This window comes from Homo sapiens, chromosome 9 (genome assembly GCF_000001405.40).
Source record: "Homo sapiens chromosome 9, GRCh38.p14 Primary Assembly".
Lineage (NCBI taxonomy): Eukaryota > Metazoa > Chordata > Mammalia > Primates > Hominidae > Homo > Homo sapiens.
This window is the reverse complement of record NC_000009.12, coordinates 37,724,483-37,744,092: the sequence shown is the minus strand read 5'-3', so window position 1 is coordinate 37,744,092 and position 19,610 is coordinate 37,724,483. Positions and strand designations below refer to the sequence as shown.

General features: G+C 47.7%; 1 protein-coding gene across 13 annotated transcripts in view; it reads right to left on the bottom strand.

Annotated features, from left to right (window-relative positions):
* Positions 1 to 19,610, bottom strand: part of FRMPD1 (FERM and PDZ domain containing 1) — a 143,676-nt gene that overhangs the window by 2,812 nt on the left and 121,254 nt on the right. For 12 of the 13 annotated variants that reach the window (NM_001371224.1, NM_001371225.1, XM_047423003.1 and 9 more), the window contains 8 exons: positions 14,240 to 14,365; positions 12,990 to 13,109; positions 11,653 to 11,789; positions 10,494 to 10,620; positions 10,268 to 10,363; positions 8,359 to 8,541; positions 6,850 to 6,997; positions 3,209 to 4,015 (listed from right to left, as the gene is read on the bottom strand). In NM_001371224.1, coding sequence (NP_001358153.1) covers positions 3,209 to 4,015; positions 6,850 to 6,997; positions 8,359 to 8,541; positions 10,268 to 10,363; positions 10,494 to 10,620; positions 11,653 to 11,789; positions 12,990 to 13,109; positions 14,240 to 14,365 — 1,744 coding nt within the window. Of the gene's footprint in view, positions 1 to 2,740; positions 4,016 to 6,849; positions 6,998 to 8,358; positions 8,542 to 10,267; positions 10,364 to 10,493; positions 10,621 to 11,652; positions 11,790 to 12,989; positions 13,110 to 14,239; positions 14,366 to 19,610 lie in introns of all 13 variants that reach the window. The other variant, XR_929220.3, reaches the window with a different exon arrangement.

Here is a 19,610-nt window from a genome sequence, read left to right as displayed (position 1 = left end):
TCATCCCCCCGGAGTAGCTGAGATTACAGGCATCTGCCACCATGCCCAGCTAATTTTTGTATTTTTAGTAGAGATGGGGTTTCACCATATTGGTCAGGGTGGTCTCGAACTCCTGACCTCAAATGATCCGCCTACCTAGGCCTGGGATTACAGGCATGAGCCACCGCGCCTGGCCGACTTTTTTTTTTCTTTTTTTTTGAGACAGGGTCTCACTCTGTCCCCCAGGCTATAGTGCAGTGGTGTGACGGCTCACAGCAGCCTTGAACTCCTGAGTTCAAGCAATCCTCCCACCTCAGCCTCCCAAGGTGCTTGGATTATAGGATTGAGCCACTGCACCCAGCTGTGATAGACATTATTAAATTTTTGGATGCCTAAGATCCATTTAATTATCTTTTGGTCACAGCATCTCAACTTCTGTTTAGGGAATGACATCTCCCCAATGGTTAGAGTCTGCTGGAACTGTTCACGAAGATGCTCTGTCCACGCCAGCCAATCAGCTACAAATTCTCCAGAATTCCAAACCCAAAGACATTAAAAAAAAAAAAAAAAAAAAAAAAAAAAAAAAAAAAAAAGCAGAGCCATTCTTTCCAACCACAATAGCTTGATAATACAGGTAGGGAATCCTGTGACTAGACTCTTAGCCTGGTTGCTGTCTATTTCTGAACCCAGGTCTTCAGGCTTGCCAGCAATTCTATAAACAATCTTACTTCCTAACACTTTTTCTTTGTGCTGATGTTAACCCAAGTCTTTTAGTGCCAATGGTGCCATTCAGTGCTGCCGTGCAGGTTAAAGGAATTAGTGCATTTTTATAAAGCACCCAGCACAAGGCCTCTGCCTCATTAGGTATTCACTAAAAGGAAGCTGCTCGTTATTGCCATTTCATGTCTGAATGTAAAGGGGCCACAACTCTGTCACAGGCATCGAGTTTTGTGCATCCCAGGATGGATCTTTCTGGGAGGAGAGGCACTATTGTAAAGAACCCTTGGGAATCAGCCAGAAGGAATTAGGATCAGAGCCTAGCACTTGAGAATCAGAGAGCTTGGGTAGTCAGACCAGTCATTTCTAACCTGGCTGTATGCTATTAGAAACCTTATCAAGTCCTAGGCTGCTCCCCACAATCTCTGAGGAGTCAGAATCTCTGAGGCTAGGGCCTAGGGATCTATAAGGTTTAGGTTTTTTTGTTTTTTGTTTTTTGAGACAGAATCTTGCTCTGTTGGCCAGGCTAGAGTTCAGTGGTGCAATCTCGGCTCACTGCAGCCTCTGCCTCCCAGGTTCCAGTGATTCTCCTACCTCAGCCTCCTGGGTAGCTGGGATTACAGGTGCACGCCACCATGCCTGGCTAATTTTTGTACTTTTAGTAAAGATGGGGTTTTGCCATGTTGGCCAGGCTAGTCTCAAACTCCCAACCTCAGGTGATCTGCCTGCTTCTGCCTCCCAAAGTGCTGGGATTACAAGTGTGAACCACTGCGCCCGGCCAAATCTATAGTTTTTAAACAAGGTCCCTCAGGTGATTCTGATGCCCAGTCACATTTGACTGCCCTAGGCTACTGACAGCCACCGACCAAGGAGTTTCTAAGTCCCAAAGACAAAGAGGCTCCAATAGTCAGTCAGGGGCCAAATCAGAACCCAGGCTGAGGAATCCTAGTTCTGGCTCTTTTCTCAGCACTACACTGGCTCCCTATAAAAAACAAAAACAAAAACAAAACAGTGTCTGGTATGAACCCCATATGTTCCTGACTAGACTCCCATAAAAGGGCCCTGACTGATGGTTTCTGCCACACTTCCATCCTGCCCCCCGGCACAATGGCTGGCCCTGCAGGGCAAGGCTGGGGCATGGAAAGTGGTTGTCTGGGTACTTTGGGGAGCAGTAAGGAGTCTGGCCATGGTTTCTCCTTTCCTTAGAGGTACAGTCAATTGAACTCAGTGTAGATGGTGGAGACTTCATTCATTCATTTAACAACAATTGCTAGACGCTGTGTGCTGGGGACACAGTGAGAAACACACAGTTCTAACGCTCAAAGGAGTTCTCGGTCTAGTGATGGAGAGAAACATCAACACAGAATCATACAAGTAAATATGTAATTTACAGGCTGTGCGAGGTGCCAGACAGGGAGAGCCCCAGGTAATGCAAGAACATGTGACAGAGATGGGGAGACTTGCCCTGGCCTGGGAAGCCTGGGAAATGTTCTCTGAGGAAGTGAATTCCAACCGGAATCTGATAGACGGATGGGCACCATCAGCCACGATCTGGGGAGGAGTGTTTCGGTCAGAAAGAGCAGCATGTGCAAAGGCTGGAGGAGGGGGAAAAAACAGGCACTTGTAGAAAGTGGCAAGGAGGTCTGTATGGCAGGAATGCAGGAGGAGGGAGAGAGACAGGCAGAGGCCATGTCACAGAGGGCCTCAAAGGGCCTGATGGGGCTCCCAGAGGAGCTGGCCTTTCTCTCCAGAACAGTGGGAGAGCACAGGAGGTCTGGGAATAGAGGATCAGAGAGCAGCAGGAAAGTGCCGAGACAGGAACAAGGGCTGCAGCTCTCCCAGCTCCTGGCAGGTCACCTTCAACATCCATGTGCTCTTTTCCAATATGTTTCCTTCAGAATGCAGTGTGTGTGTGTGTGTGTGTGTGTGTGTGTGTGTGTGTGTGTCCTGCCAGGATCTCAGTTCTGCTTGGAAAGACCCTCCACACTCTCGGTGGAGGAATGTATGAGGAACCTGATAGAAACACAGCCACCAGATCCCCTACCTTCTGATGTCAGGGTCCCTTGGACCCCAGAAGGCCTTGCAGGGCCACAGACGGCCTGTCTGTCTGGTTCTTCTTGCTTCAAGGCCTCCTTTAATGCAGCCTCAGGATCAGTGATGACATAGCCACTTCGCTCTGCCGGGCACTCCTGTCAAGCCCTTTCCTTTTTTGTAAATTCTGTCCCTCCCACAGGGCCCAGCCCATTTGCCCCCTCTTCTGGGAAGCCTTCCCTGATTCCCACTGTTGGATGAATCCCTCCCATCTGCTTGCCACAGTTGTCTGAACCTCCCTTGCAGGCCTGCCACGATGCCTAAAATTTGGTCCATGGAATCTGTATCTACCTCCTCAGAAGTGTACAGGGACCCTGTTTCACTCATGTGCCTTCCTCTCAAGCTTGGCCCCAGGCCTTGATCCCCGGGAGGCACTCAGGAGCTGCCTGCCGTGTCTGCAGACCTGCAAGGGACGGCTCACCTGACGGGGGGCCTGGGGGAGTGAGCTTATCAGCCGCGTCATAGTATTCCTCATCTGAGCTGCCATCCTCAAAGGCCAGTGGTGGGTGCAGGGCCAGGGGTTCCAGCATGGAACTGGGCTGGGCCTCAGTCCAGCCCTGCTGACCCCAGGCTGGCGGGGCTCCCCCTTGCCGGGAAGCTGTACTCTCGGAACTGTCACTCAGGTAGCTGGCCGGGGAGACACTGGAACACAGGCTGTAGTAGTCAGCGTGGCTGCCTTCATACAGCCTGGGGTCCAGCCTGACTGTGCTCAGTTCTGGTGCCCAGCCAAATGTCTCCAAAGCAGCACTCTCGGAAAACTCTGTCTTCTGGCACTGGGGGTTGGCTCTCTGGGCCAGGTCCAGGAGACAGAGGAAGCCACTGGTTTCAATCCCGCTTCTCTCCTCCTGGCTGTCAGAGTCAATGCTCTCTGCGAGGCCTGGCGAGCCAAAGTGGAAGAAGGTGGACCTGCTGGAGGAGCAGGTGTCTAAGTCATCCTCTTCCAGAGCGTCCATGGACTCACTCGAGCCACTGGTCCTGTAGCCGCGGCTCTCAGTGTTGGCTGAGTCGGACGCCTCGGACTCGGCACTGTCTGTCGTGCTGCTGGCCCCGCAGGTGCTGGGGCCCCTCCTAGCCACCTCAGGTGTGGGGCTGTTCCCAGGAGGCTGCTCCTCCTTTATGAGTGATCTGCAGGGTGCCAGTTTCACCAGGCGCCTGTCAGAGAGAGGTTCGAGTACGCAGTCCACCTCAGAGGACTCCTCTGAGTCACTGCAGGCCCTGGATTCATAGCCTGCAACACAGGGTACAGCAACAGTTACACAACAGAATTCTCCTACCTATGTGTCCTTCTAGCCCCCTGACCCCCACCCAACCCTGCCAGACGAGAAAACTGAGGGCCAGAGGGTGGCTGGCCTAAGACCGTCCTATACTGACGAACACGGGATCCGAGGGACTCCAGCTTCCATGTTCTCCCCATGCTATCAGACCGCCTGTCCCACATCTCTCTGAGCTAAAGGAGGCTGGATTAACTCCATCCCCACCTCCAAGGAGAACTGTCTGTTCATGGAAATGTGGTATTTACTTTGATTCCTCTTTGTGTGGGCAGCACTGCCCAGGTTTGCTAAGCCCCTCCCCAGACCTCAGTTCTATCCTGCCTGGGCGTCAAAGTCAGATGGGGAATCATATTTTAAAAATACAACAGATCCTTGGCCCTACCCCTGATGTACTGAGTCAGATCGCTAGAAGTGGGGCCTGAGAATCTGTATTTTTAGCAATTTTATGACGAGTACGAGGCTGCTAGGCTGGCACCATTCTAAAGCCTGGCCTTCTGGATCCATGGGTGCTATGGGCTTTGTAGGACAGTGAAAACTCATCCAGCGGCAGGTTCTCAGGAAGGATTAATGGTAGGAGGCTGGGGAGCACTGAGCCAGGTTGCAATCTCTTTATTCCTGTAAGCCTCCAGAGTGATCTTTCTCAAACTTCTCTCTGACCTCATCACACCCTGCTTAAACCCTCTGATGGCTGCCCTGCTTACGGGGAAGAGCCTGGCCTCCCCCACAACAGTTACAGACTCTCACAGTATGGCCTTGTTGCCCTTCTCACAGGATGGCCATGGCGCCTCATGCACAGTCTAGTCCTCCCTTGCCTCAAAGGATGGCCCTAAGGCCTCCTCTGCAGGCTCTTCCCCCTCTCCCAGGATGGCCCTGAACCCTCCTCTGCAGTCTAGTACCCACGACAGGATGGTCTTGACACCTCCCCTTCAGTCTAGTGTCTCCCTCACAGAATGGCGCTGAGGTCTCCTCTGTAGTCTAGCTGCCCTTCTCGTGGTGGGGCTCCTATCTCTTTTCACCATCTCCCTTTTCCCCTCTTGCAATATGGTCCAGCCCCTCCTCAGGCACCCAGTCCCCCATGGCAGCCTTCCCTGCCACGTTCCAGCCACCCATAGGGAGAGCTCCTTTCAGGTCATGGCCTTTTCCTCGGGTCATTCCTCCAGGCCCCCTCGGCCTTGAATGATCTGTCTTCCTTTTCCGTGCCTGGTTAACTCCAGCATGTTCTTCAAGATCTATTTCCAATACCTCTTCCTCTAGAGAACTTTCTCTGACAGGCAGCAGCAGTCCCCCCCACAACCCCTCCACAACAGCCCTGTTGCCACTCTGCGTTGTCTCCCTGAGCAGACTCTGAGGAGTCACCCCTCGTTCATAAATACATTGTGTAACAACAAAGGTAACAGGCTGGGCGCCGTGGCTCATGCCTGTAATCTCAGCACTTTGGGAGGCTAAGGTGGGCAGATCATTTGAGGTCAGGGGCTCGAGACCAGTCTGACCAACATGGCGAAACCCCATCTCTACTAATGTACAAAAATTAGCCGGGCGTGGTGGCAGGTGTCTGTAATCTCAGCTACTTGGGAGGCTGAGGCAGGAGAATCACTTGAACCCAGGAGGTGGAGGCTGCAGTGAGCCAAGATTGCACCACTGCACTCCAGCCTGGGTGACAGAGAGAGACTGCCTCTAAAAAAAATAAAAATAAAAACAAAGGTAACAGATACTCCAAACTCATCACTTTCTAACTGTTTTACTTATTGTATTAGTACCTATTCTCTTGAGCTGATTTCTACTTTATCCATATAGAGGAAACACTCTACAGTGGTGTGCTATTGATCACCTCTTCCCATCTCCACATTCATCATGGTATCATCATATCGTGGTAGCCTGAAATTACCCATCGTGAGAATGTTGACACCATGGAATTGGGCAATTCCTTCAAACTGTTTTTGTCCCTCTGCAGGGAGTTGTTAAGCATTTATCAGCACAGCCCTAGGTTCATGCTGCATCAATGGTGCTGAGGCAAAAGCCTGGCAGAAACTGGGAGCTGGCCTAGGAAACTGTCTTACCTGCCTTGCAGAGAAGTTCTTTTATACTTCAAGAGATTGCAAAAGAGTGCATAGGTAAGGAAGAGAAGCCAGGTCATCTACTTCCTGAACAAATAAGTGACATCTCTTTTTGATGAGAAATAATGATAATCTTTTTTTTTTTTTTTTTTTTTTTAAGATGGAGTTTCGCTCTTGTTGCCCAGGCTGGAGTGCAATGGCACGATCTCGGCTCACTGCAACCTCCACTTCCTGGGTTCAAGCGATTCTCTTGCCTCAGCCTCCCAAGTAGCTGGGATTACAAGCATGTGCCACCATGCTCGGCTAATTTTGTATTTTTAGTAGAGATGAGGTTTCACCATGTTGGCCAGGCTGGTCTCAAACTCCTGGCCTCAGGTGATCCACCTGCCTCAGCTTCACAAAGTGCTGGGATTACAGGCGTGAGCCACAATGCCTGGCTGAGAAATAATGATAAAATGCAGTGGATCTGAGAGACAATCTTAGGAAATACAGCAGGGAACTAGAGCTCTTCCACAGCATTCCTTGGTTTCAGGAAAATTTCAGATACAAAGAAAGCTTCTTTGTTTAGTATTTATGAAAGATCAATTGTTTACTAGGAAATAAACAGAGAAATAGCTCTCATCCACTTGAGCTGAAGCCTCGGCTCAATTCAATTCACCACCTCCCTTTAGGCTGCCCTTACCTACAAGGCCAGTGAAAGGGGCCTGTCCTTATTGGGGCAAGACTCAGTGCCTCACCTTCTTCTGCAGATACCCGGTGCGCTTGTTGTTTGTTTCCAGGCCAGAGGAAAATGGAGGTAACTGGGTCAACCAACAGCCTGTAGTACCCAGCAATCAGGCAGGCTAGGTCTTTTGCACTGTTGGATTCCAGCAGCAAAGTCAGAACCTTTGAAAGCAAATAGAAATCTCATGTTTATCAAGGACCAAGGGACAGTCTGAAGACTGACAACAAAGCCATGTGGGACCAACGAGAGATTCCAGGTAAATCCGGCCATGGTCCACAGGTAGGTCTCCTGGTGCCCCATATCCTCACTTGCAAGGCTTTAAATGAGGACATGCATGTACTCGTACAGACACCATCGCGTGTGTGTGTGCGCACACATACACACACACACACACACACTCTCACGCACTCACACACTCACTCACACACAGTGGGTCCTTCCCACCCAATCTATACAGTGTCTTCTGACTCCTCATCCTCTACCCCAGCGCCATATCCAAACTGCCCCATCCCACCCTGTTCATTCCTGCAGAGGGACTTGCAAGACTGAACTTAAAAAAGAAAAAGGAGCAAGAACATGTGGAGAATGAGGGAGAGGGTGATAAGAATAAAGCACCAATATTGAGTATGTTGGGATTAAATCAAAGGAGGGCAGAATAAAAGTAAGACCTTTGAGAGAGGCTCAGGAGGTACCCTGCACTAGTTACCTTTTTTTTTTTTTTTTTTGAGACAGAGTTTTGCTCTTGTCACCAGGCTGGAGTGCAATGGTGCAATCTTTTGCTCACTGCAACCTCTGCCTCCTGGGTTTAAGTGATTCTCCTGCCTCAGCCTCCCAAGTAGCTGGGATTACAAGCGTGAGCCACCACACCGGGCCCACTATTTACCCATTTTAATGCCCACCACTCAAAGCTTTTGAGCAGCAATCTGGTCCCATTCATGTGATAAAATCCTCTGGTGGGCCGGGCGCGGTGGCTCACGCCTGTAATCCCAGCACTTTGGGAGGCCAAGGCGGGTGGATCACGAGGTCAGGAGATCGAGACCATCCTGGCTAACACAGTGAAACCCCATCTCTACGAAAAAATACAAAACATTAGCCGGGCATGGTGGTGGGCGCCTGTAGTCCCAGCTACTTGGGAGGCTGAGGCAGAAGAATGGTGTGAACCCACGAGGCGGAGCTTGCAGTGAGCCAAGATCGTGTCACTGCCCTCCAGCCTGGGCAACAGAGTGAGACTCTGTCTCAAAAAAAAAAAAAAATCCTCTGGTGTTCTCCATCTACGTTTCTAAATCCAACAGGAAAGCACATGGTCCATCTCAGTTTGTGCAAAAAAACCTTTTAGGACCTCTTCAGGAAAATTTACCATTTACCACTTTCCGTTTGATAGAACAGGATGGACAATTCGTCCTCTTAAGCAGATATTGGACATTAGACTTTATTATTATTTAAAATTCATATAAACTAGCCTGGCCCCTATTTGGCCCCAAATTCCAGCAGTTGAATTCAGAATCTCTCCCCATTGTGTTACCTTGACGTCCTGAAGATACACTTTGACGACGCTCACTTTCTCAGACTCTTCCGTTAGCTCTACACGGCTGATGTTTGCAAACTCTGCCAATGTGGACATGATGTTGAGTTTGCTATTGATAACCTGGCTAATCCCATACTTGGCTCCAACTAGAAGGGCAATGTAGGATTCTCTATCCTGTAACTGCAGAGGGTGGAAGGGGAATTAGTCTCCATTCGCAAGCGAGTGAAAATACATTTCACATGTAAGCAATAATACCTCTCGCTGCAAACTCCTTGATTCCTACTTTGGATCCTAACCACCACTCCTCCAGACTATTGCCTAACTTGGACCCCATCAACAGCTAAATCAAAGTGTAAATTTATTTCCCCAAAACTCTTTCCAATATAGCCCTGAGCCACAGCCATAAACACATCTGTATTTTCACACCTATGTACCTATCTTCCTGCTCTTTGAATCCCTTCCCTGCCATCATTTCCCATTTAAATCCTGATCCTTCTTTAAAAGCTTACATCAAAACCTACTGCCTATGGAAAGCATCTGCCTGATCTCAGCCTCCTTAAGCCAGAAATCTCCCTTTCCTCTCTGTTGTTCTGTACCACTTCCTCTTACTTCTCTACTAGCACTGAACACTTATGACTTCTTATTTTAATTATTTGTATTAAGTCTCATTTTCCACATTAAGTTTCTTGACAACAGAGTCTGCATTTATCTCTATTTGTAACCCGCAGTGCCCAGCAAGCACCCTGAACCTGTTCCATGTAGCTGGTTGCTTCTCCCACTACCAGTTCTTTCCTTAGACAAGAAAGGTAAAGGGAGACTGGGGACTGGAACTGGACAGCTGGGAGAGGGTAGAATTAGCCCTTAGAAAAATTGGGAAGTTTTTCTTGTACCTTCAAAACTTTCCTTTCTGTGATCTAGTCTCTTTCCCACCTTTTGGGTCTTCTACTTAAACGAAGAATCCATCTGTGTTTCCCCTTCCCCTAACTATCTGATGCTCTTCCTTTCTTTCAAAACACTGATTCTCTTCTTCCATCTACATTGTTAGGTTAGCAGTCTGATTACATTGGCCCATCACTGTAAATGACTGAGATGCATACCAAATCTTTTGAAAGGATTTTGGTTAATATTTTTTTAAAACCCCACTCTAATTGTAAATTGGTTTTGTGCTGCAGAGTCCTGGGGCTGACAGTGCTGGAGGAAAGCTCTCTGAAACCATACCCCCGAGACACTGACTGCTGAAAGGCACAAGCTCTAGGCCTAGGCTCCAAAAAGAAGCAGGCAGGAGAATGGGAAGAGAGCAGAGGGCTTTTCTGCTTCTCGTTTCTCTTCTCAGGCCCACCCCTCATTCCTCCCTTCTGAACAATCAGAGACTCAGCTTGGCAGTCAAACACTCTTATTTTTCTTTCATGATTTCCAATTTTCCTCTTCACCTTCATATACCCAAAGCTCCAGAGTGAACTGCTTACCATCCCCTTCTGACCCAGAATGCCTTTTCCTCTCTACTGAAGTCTGGCCAAATTCAGGCTTCCTCTTGCCTCTTTCCTTAACCCCTTCTCCTCCCTATACTTACCCTGAAGCAAGCAGTGCTACCTTCTGTCTCCAAACTCCACAGCAATAGGCCTGAACCTGTCTCATGGCTTTGCTTCATTTTGTTGGGTAGCTTGTTTCATCCTTCAAGGACGGAAATCACATCTTATTCAGCCCTGCTTCCCCTAGCATCTATCACAGGGGTAGCACCAAGCAAACGCGTGGTAAATATTTTCCAGTGGTGTACTATTTAGTTTACCAGACAAATTCTAGTACATGACAGAGTCCTCAGGAATTTTAGGCTAAAAGACACATTGATTTTCAGAGGATCTCTAAGGTCCCTTACGTGAGTAGGATTTCACAGTTCTCTAATACATACCATTAAAGTAGCATTAAAGATTCTTCCACCATATGTCTTGAGTTCTCCGAGGATCTGTAGATAATTTAAACGTAGCTGGGCAGCAGAAATAAGTTGCTTAATAGAGAAAAAAAAACACTTGAAGTCAGAGTTATTCATTGGTCTAAAATCCAGGCAGTGTTGAAAATGTTTTTCCTAAGGTTTCACAGACGACAGCTGAGTGGGTCGGCAGAGGCACCTTCATTACCTTCTGTCGGGGTTCCAGCAAATTCTGGTTCCTCTTCATGTGGAAGCTAATGGCTTTCTTGATGTCTTTGCCTTTCATGTTTCGGAGTAAAGTTGGAGATATAAAGTTCTCTATTCCCCAGTCTTTCCTGCCATGAGACATTGGAGACAAGGAGGCCCATTTCTACAGGGTACTTGGCTCTAATGAAGAGCATAATTACATTTGATTCAGTACTTAGTGTTCCCATAATACAGCAATTACGAGCCACTTTCTCCTCCTCTCTTTTTCTTTCTCACACACACATACACACACTCTCCACAAAAATCCCCACAGGCATTCAGGAACTAAACCCCATTGATCATTCTGGGAGCTCATTACTCTTGGTGTGGTGTGACCATCTATCAGTCAGAGCAGGAGTTCTGAATCTTTTTCACTACAAAATACATGGCAAATAATGACAGCATACAAGAGAGTACAAGACACTCTCATGGGGCAACGCAGAGCTCCTGTGAATCCCCTAGGCTAAGCTTCAGCATGGTGCCAGCCTAGCAGCTTCAAAATCCCCCAGAAAATTGCTAAAACTACAGATTCTCAGGCCCTGCTGCGAGAGATTGGACTTAGTACATCAGGGGTAGGGCCAAGGATATGCTGTATTTTTAAAAATATGATTCCCCATCTGATTCTGATGCTCAGGCAGGACAGAGCTGAGATCTGGGGAGGGGCTTAGCAAACCTGAGTGATGCTGTCCAGAACAATTCTAAGCTAAGAATCAGAAGGTGCTGGAATCGTAGGACTTGAAACTGCTCTAGTGGAGACATAATGCAATAGGAACTGGTTCATATCCACGGGAAAAATTAACTTCCAAGGCATTCCCACCCCTAGAAAAGCTTAACACTGATGCTGGCAACTGATTTCCCAAGACATCTTCCCAGGAACAGGCAATTTACAAGGGAATCCTGTGACATTCCATCTGGAGTTGGCTTCTGTCCCAGAGAGAGCAGCCAGGTTCAGACATCTGGGGGAGCCAGGTCAGATTAGAGAGGGTGCAGAGGGAAATGGATGGAAAGACAACAGACAGATGGGTAGGTGGGTGACTATCAGCTTTCTGTGGCATCTGGCCCTCCTGGCCAGGGGCCAGCAAGTTATAAATGCAATGCAGCTGCCATCCCCTGCCACTCACTCTATATACTTTAAAGAGATCTTCTGTGGCTGGGCACAGGCGTAGATCCGTTCCTGGATGTGCAGAGCCGCGAGTCGGAGTGCAGAGCTACATTTCATTTCTACAGCAAAGCGCTCCTGGAGCACATCGCTGCAGCTCTAGAAGAGATTAAATAGAGCAGATGGGAAACAAAAGCAGACATACTGTGTCCCCTCGTTCTCTCGGGTGAAAGGCAGCAGGACCAGGAGCTCCGCTTTGAGAGCTGGCTCTGACAGTTCTTGGCTGTGTGACCTTGGTTAAGTTACCAAGACTCTCCAAGCATTTGGTGTCTGGTAAATGAGGATAGTAAAATCTACCTTATGTGGTTTCTGTGAGACTTAAATTAGATAATGCATATGAAAGCAGGTATAAGGCACACAGTGTTATACAAATATAAAGTATTGATGGCGTTGTTATTGCTATTATTATTATTTTCTGCCACCATTTCTGTAAGACTTGGGGCAGTCCAATCCACCTAGTCTGAGTTATCTCATCTGTAAAATGGTGATATCTGCCAAATGATTCTTTTTCTTTTTTTTTTTCTTTTCTGGAGACAGAATCCCGCTCTGTCACCCAGGCTGGAGTGCAGTGGCATGATCTTGGCTCAATGCAAACACCACCTCCAAGGTTCAAGTGATTCTCCTGCCACAGCCTCTCAAGCAGCTGGAACTGTAGGTGTGTGCCACCACGGCTGGCTAATTTTTTGTATTTTTGGTAGAGACGGGGTTTCACCATGTTGGCCAAGCTGTTCTCAAACTCCTGACCTCAAGTGGTCCACCTGCCTCGGCCTCCTAAAATGCTGACATTACAGGCGTGAGCTACCGCACCCGGCTCCAAATGATTATTTTTCATCAGAATAAAAATGGCATCATAACTCTCATCTAAGGAGGTAGAATAGGGGGAGCACCAGGCCACGGATCAAGAACCAGGTTTTGGCTCTGCCACTAAGTGAGTGACCCAGGCAAATCACACGACCTTTCCAAGACTCAGTGTCATCATTCTAAAACGAGGTTTTAAAGCACTAAGGCCCCTTTTGGCAATAAAAACTGTAATTCTAAAGATCCTAAAATGGTATTAGAAAATGTATCATCTACATTGAGGACTGAGCCTGAATTTCATTCTGATATCGCACACCTGCTAAAACAGCAACTCAGTGATGGAAAAGGGAATTCTGAGCGATGATCAGGCCCATTCTCCTTCAGATAAAGAGAATCCCTACCAGGGAGTTGTTTAATGGCCTCGAGCTCACGTTCAAAATCACCCAGTGCACCATCTTTGAGAACAACCACTGTTATTTTAGGAAGCACAGACCCAGTCACCTGCAGATAGAGGTATTCAAAGGCCACGGGGTCTTCTTTCAGGAGGTCCAGGGGGTCCTTGGGAACAAAACAGACCCTGAAGAGGCAGCGGTAGTCATGTGACTCCTCCCTTTCTACCACCTGCGATGGGTAAGGGAGATACTATTAATCTCCTAACTGCCTTTGTCCTTGCAGTCATTCCACAAAACCACTCTATAAAACACAGACAGTGAAAGACAGTTCCCAGAGATTTCAATTCTAGTGCTTCCCAAGACAGCCATAGACCTTTACTCCTAATTTGACTTTCTTTTTCCTGGGTACAAAATGTAAAAGGTTCAAAAGGGCAGCATTTCCCACTCACCTATCTTCCAGTTTCCCTTTCCAGAGGAAACTCCTGTTTTCAGTTTCTTGTGTGCCCCTTCCAGAGACAGTTTATGTATATTCATGCTTCAGTATAAGTCTATTCTTTTATCTTCCACAAATAATAATATAGTATACATACCATTCTACAACTTACTTTATTTCACTTAAACTATCTTAGGGATTTAATGTGATTTTCTTTCCCAATGCAAATGGAATAGAAGTAATTAAAAAGTCTGCAAGCAGTAAACCTTCTAATCGGTGAGTGCATTGGGTAAGAATTCATCTGCAAAGAGGAATGTTCAGGGTGGCTTTTATGAGGTTATGTATTACTCATTTCCAACTGTTAAAATCCTCCTCATCTTTGTAACAGACTCACAAAGATTTGTTGAACTAACCTGTGTTTAGCTTTAAAAAGTTGGTACAACATATTATTGAATGGTTGGGAGATTGAGTGATATAGACCGTTTGGCTGTGTTTACCCTATTCTGCCATCAGGAACCATATCGGGGGTAAGTCCCACAAGAAGGGCTTAGACACAGCAACAAATGCTTCCCTAATGGCTCAAAGGCAGCAGGTGCAAGGGAAGATCATCAGAGCTAGAAGCAAAAGATCAGGGTTCTATCAGCTGTGTTACCTTGAGAAAGTCACCTTACCTCTCTAAGCCTTTGTCTCCACATCTGCAAAATGGGGACCTTAAATCTGTGTCCTGCCTACCTCATACTAGCAGATGAAAATCAGGCTGATTCTTGTCCCATAACCCCCAGGCTGAGTGAGCTCTGTGCCTTCTGGGGCAAGAGAAAGTGCATCAAACCTGCAGATGTGCTGAGCCCTGTCCCCAGAGGTTCTGGCTGAGGTATGCAGCCAGCCCAGCCCATGCCTCCCAGGAACAGGCGGTCAGTCCTCCCTACCTGCTGGATGAGTTCCTCTTCGTGCAGCAGGTGCAGCCGGGAGATGCTGTACTGCTCTTCCAGGGCCAGTGCAAAGTACTCGATACTTCGGATGGACAGCTTCTCCTTCACGGTGAGGATGATGTCCTAGCAGGCACAGAGAGGTGCAGGAGTTACGCAAGAAACAGGAAGGACTTCCCTGGCCTTCCTGCCATTCCTCAGTGCAGCTAGGGAGAGAAAAGCCTGCACTGACATGCCCACTGCTGACTTACGCCAGAGTCTGGTCCCACTCATCAGGCCCCTTACGGCCCTGCAGCCACAGCTCCCCTCTCCTCAAGCTCCATCACCATCCATACAGCCACCCTGTCTTGCTTTACTTGGAAGGCTGAAGCCATCCAGTGGAGGTTTCTGCCTCTCTCCTATGTCCCTAGACTTATTCTCTCTCTAGAGTTCCCAGTCTCTATCTTTTTTTTTTTTTTTTTTTTTTTTTTTGAGAGGGTCTCCCAGGCTGTCACCCAGGCTGGAGTGCAGTGGCGTGATCTTGGCTCACTACAACCCTTGCCTCCTGGGTTCAAGCAATTCTCCTGCTTCAGCCTCTCGAGTAGCTGGGATTATAGGCACATGCCACCATGCCTGGCTAATTTTTGTATTTTTAGTAGAGATGGGGTTTTGGAATGTTGGCCAGGCTGGTCTTGAACTCCTGACCTCAAGTGATCTGCCTGCCTTGGCCTCCAAAAGAGCTGGAATTATAGGCGTTTGCCACCACACACAGCTAGTTTTTTTGTATTTTTAGTACAGACGGGGTTTTGCCACGTTGGCCAGGCTCCCAGTCTGTATCTTTGACTGCTTACTAGACAGAATCCCACCACCCACTCACTATGCAACTGAGTGAAACTTTTTTTTTTTTTTTTTGAGACGGAATCTCGCTCTGTCGCCCAGGCTGGAGTGCAATGCTGTGATCTCAGCTCACTGCAACCGCCGCCACCTGGGTTCAAGCAATTCTCATGTCTCAGCCTCCCAAGTAGCTGGGATTACAGGTGTGCGCCACCACGCCCAGCTAATTTTTGTATTTTTAGTAGAGATGGAGTTTCACCATGTTGGTCATACTGGTCTCGAACTCCCGACCTCAGGTGATCTGCCAGTCTCAGCCTCCCAAAGTGCTGGGATTACAGGAATGAGCCACCACGTCCAGCCACAACTGAGGGACACTTTTGAACCCCAGTCACTTCCTCTCCAAATAGAGGACAATAATGCGTAATTCTGAGAGTGGCTGACAGGACGGAATGGTTGTGAATGCTGCGCTGAGGCATCCTGGTTGCCACGCCACACTCTTCTTGCTCACTAGAGCAGCCCTCTGTGAGGTCTTTGCTGCCTCGAAGCATTCGCACATGCTGTTCCCTCTGCCCAGTATACTTTCCCCATTACTCTTTCCAGGTCTGTTTCTTTCTCTTCCTTCGAGTTTCAGTCCAAATGTCACCTCTTAGAGAGGCTTTCTCTGGCCAGCATACATAATCATCCCTGTTACTCTCTGTCCCAGTGTCCTGTTTATTTCCCTCACCATTATTTAATATTATTTTCTTCAATTAACAGCCATGGTAAAGTTAAGGGAATGGGTTCTAGACCTCCATTCCCAATTCCTAGCTGTAATTGCTTCTTCTCTCTATGCCTCAGTGTTTTCATCTGTAGAATGGGAATAATATTAACACCTATCTCATAGAGTTGTTGTGTACATTGAATTGATTTCCCCATAGAAGGCACTTAGAACAGCACCTGGCAGATGGTAAGTATTCAATGCATGCCAACTGCTAATCTCTGTTTTCTTGCTTATTGTCTTTCACCCCACTAGATGTTAAACTCTCTGAGGATGTGGGCCTTGCCTGTGCTGTGCTCTGTTATGCAGTATATCCAGTGCTTGGCACATAATAGATGCACACAAACTTTCACTTGGTGAGTAAACAGAAATCATAAATGTCCTGCCAGAACCTCAAACGCAGTAAGTCTCGCACCATCAGGTGCTCCTCCCTCCTCATGACTCCTGATTCGGAGCCCTCTCTCCACTTGTTCATCACCCCCCATAACTACCCAGTGACTAGTCCTGAAGGGTCCATTTCCTCCCTCCTCATGACTCCTGATTCGGAGCCCTCTCTCCACTTGTTCATCACCCCCCATAACTACCCAGTGACTAGTCCTGAAGGGTCCATTTGCTTCTGCAGCTCCACACCATTAACTGAGTGCTGCCTGTGTGCCTGGCATTGTGCTGGCCCCAATGGAAAGCCTGTCTCTTGACTCTGTCCCTTCTTCTCCATTCTCCCATGTCTACCTCAGCTTGGGCTCATGCATTTCTTGGCTTTGTAGAGGGATGTCCTGTGAACCCTCCTGCCACCCATCTGTTCTCCAACTTGCACATAGAGCAAAGGTTGGCAAACTGTAGCCTGTGGAGCAAATCCAGCCCACTGCCTGTTTTTGTAATTAAGGTTTTATGGGAATATAGCCATGCGCATTTGCTACAATGGCAGAGTTGAATAACTATGACAGAGACCCTGTGGCCTGCAAAACCTAAAATACTCACTATGTGGCCCTTTACAGAAGGTTTGCTGACTCTTGATCTAGAGGAATTTGTCTAAGCCTTGTACTGGGCATGCTCTCCCTTGCTCAAGAACGTTCAGTGGCTCTTGATGGCTCACTGGCCAAAATCCAAACTCCTTAGCTTAATATTCAAGACTCTCAAGGTATCAGGTGCCAACCCACTTCTCCCACTTTATCTTCTGCTGCTTATCCCAATGCACTCTGCCCACAAGCCCCACACACTTGTCAAACTTGCCCATTTCTGGATCTTTGTTGGTGTTGTTCGCCGTGCCCGGATGTTGCCTTCACACATCACTCTTGGCCCACTCCAGTCAAAAGCCAATCTATCTTTCTAAGTCCACCATACATGCTACCACTCCACTCCCCCAGAGGCCTTTATTTGGCACCCAGCTGGAAGCTTGCTCTCCCCTGAGCCTGTACCACACGGCTTCTGTCCCGCTTTCATGGTCTTAAGCACACCGGTACCTCGTTTCATTGTGAGTTGTCCCCAGATCTCATCTCCTCACCCTAGCCCCACCCCAAGACTTCAGGCTTCCTAAGAGTATAACCCTGGGTAATTTATTTATTTATTTATTTATATTTATTTTTTTGAGATGGAGTTTCGCTCTCATCGCCCAGGCTGGAGTGCAGTGGCATGGTCTCGGCTCACTGCAACCTCTGCCTCCCAGGTTCAAGCAATTCTCCTGCCTCAGCCTCCCAAGTAGCTGGGACTACAGGCTTGCACCACCATGCCTGGCTAATTTTTGTATTATTAGTAGAGACAGGGTTTTACCATGTTGGCCAGGCTGGTCTCAAACTCCTGACCTCAGTTGATCCACCCACTTCGGCCTCCTAAACTGCTGGGATTACAGGCATGAGCCACTGCACCCGGCCCCTGGGTAATTTATTGCCAAGTTGTTGGTGATATAGAAATGCCTGGCACACAAAAAGTGTCAATAAATGTTTACTGGGTCAAATGACATATTCTTTTTCTTGGTTTAGAGAAAGAGGGTTTTCTAATACAAGAACTTTTCTTCCCTTAGTGAGGGAAAGGGGAAGAGAAGTCACTGATGAGTGGACAGTAATTTTTCCTTTTTTCACTCATAAGATTTATTTATGTCCACCTTTCTCTGTGTCGTAAACAGCTAAAGACTTTGCTTTAAAAAATTTGGCTATTACAGATAAATAAGATTAACCAGTATTATACTGGCTAAGTCCTTGTTCATTTCCCCAACTCTCTCTGTCATCTTAAGTTTAATTCCCCTGTAATGTGGGCCTTTATTGTAAACTACCTCAAAGTCCTTTTGGCCACCAAAGGGGGACTTGCTTTAAAAAAAATCAACCCTTCTATTCCAATCCACTTTGAGCAAAGATGATGAAAGTAGAACTCTTGTCTAATCCATTTGCAAAGCTTCCCTTTTCTGCAGAATGGCAGAGTGACAAGATTCCAGCACAGGATTCAAAAACAGACCAAGTTCAAAGCCAGTTATGAGCTAGCTGATCTTGACAGCTTTTGGGCCTCTTGGGCCTGTTTTCTCTTCTGCAAAGTGGGGATAACACTAGTTACTTCACAAGGTTGCTAGGGCATTAAATGAGATCGTATACAAGAAAGTGCCCAGGAAGCGTGCCTGGCATGTAGTAAACACTTAAAGTCTATTCCTCCATTGCTTCCTCCTCTGGGCTTGGAGTTCCCCAGGTTCAGAAAGCCCTTCTCCAGCTTCTTCTAACTCACATTTAGGAAGAAATAGAATAGAGCATTTGGAGCAGCTGTAGGAATTGCCAAATGAAGGTGCCAGAGAGAAGCACTGGATGTGTGCGTACAGGTGTATGTACATTGTACATATGTGTGCATGCATATGCATGTGTGTGAATGTACTGTGCAGATGTGTGTGTGCATGTGTGTCTTGGCTACTGTTTGTCCCCTATAGCTGCATTGGCCCTCCTGAACCTGCTCTCCCCTTGTACCAGAAGAGCTGGGCTCAATGTTTCCTCTTACATGGTTTTTACTGTTTGAACAACTTTGCTTCTTCACTGCGGCCTCACTCTAACACTATTTACTCCCTTGTTCAAGAACTGCTAGCACCATACGATATTATCTATGGATAAAACTCAAGCTCTATTGTTGCCTGGCATTTGAGGCCCTCCACAGCCACTCCTTCCACAAGAAAACAGCCTGTGCCCCAGTCCTGCTGGATGGTTTGCTATTTCCTGGGCAATTGCCATTTTTCTGGCTCTCTGCATTAGTTCACGTGACTCTCTGATTGATATGTACCCTACCCTCAACTGCCCTGTCCCTACTGGCCCTTGTTGAAATCTTAGTTATCCTCCAAAGCTCAGCGCAGGTCCAGCTTCTTTCCCATGCCTTGTCTGAAGTCTGGACAGGCTGGAAGAGATGGTACTCTTCCCCTTGCACTTGGCCCTTATTTCATCCTGCCTTGGACAATCAAGCATTCCCTGAACGTCCACCGTCCCTCAACTAGACTGCAAGCTCCTGAAGATCGAGACCACCCCTGACTAAGCTCAGTAACCCCTCTCAGATCATCTCATATGGGGAAACTTGTGAAGTATAAGTTCAATTGACTTTAACCAAGAACAGAATAGGCAGCGCCTGGGCCTTTCCTGACATCTCACCTGGGTTTTCGTAGTGTTTGGCGTAGCAGGTAGAGTCACAGACAAATGGCAGGGAAGCCTGGTGGTTATGGGTGAAGGCTTAGGAGTTCTAATCTGACCTTTGGGCAAGTCACTTCATCTCTCTAAGTCCCGATTCCCACCCCTTAACCCCCACCCAGTTACGATGGTGGTAAAAAGACCATCTTTCTGGGTGGTC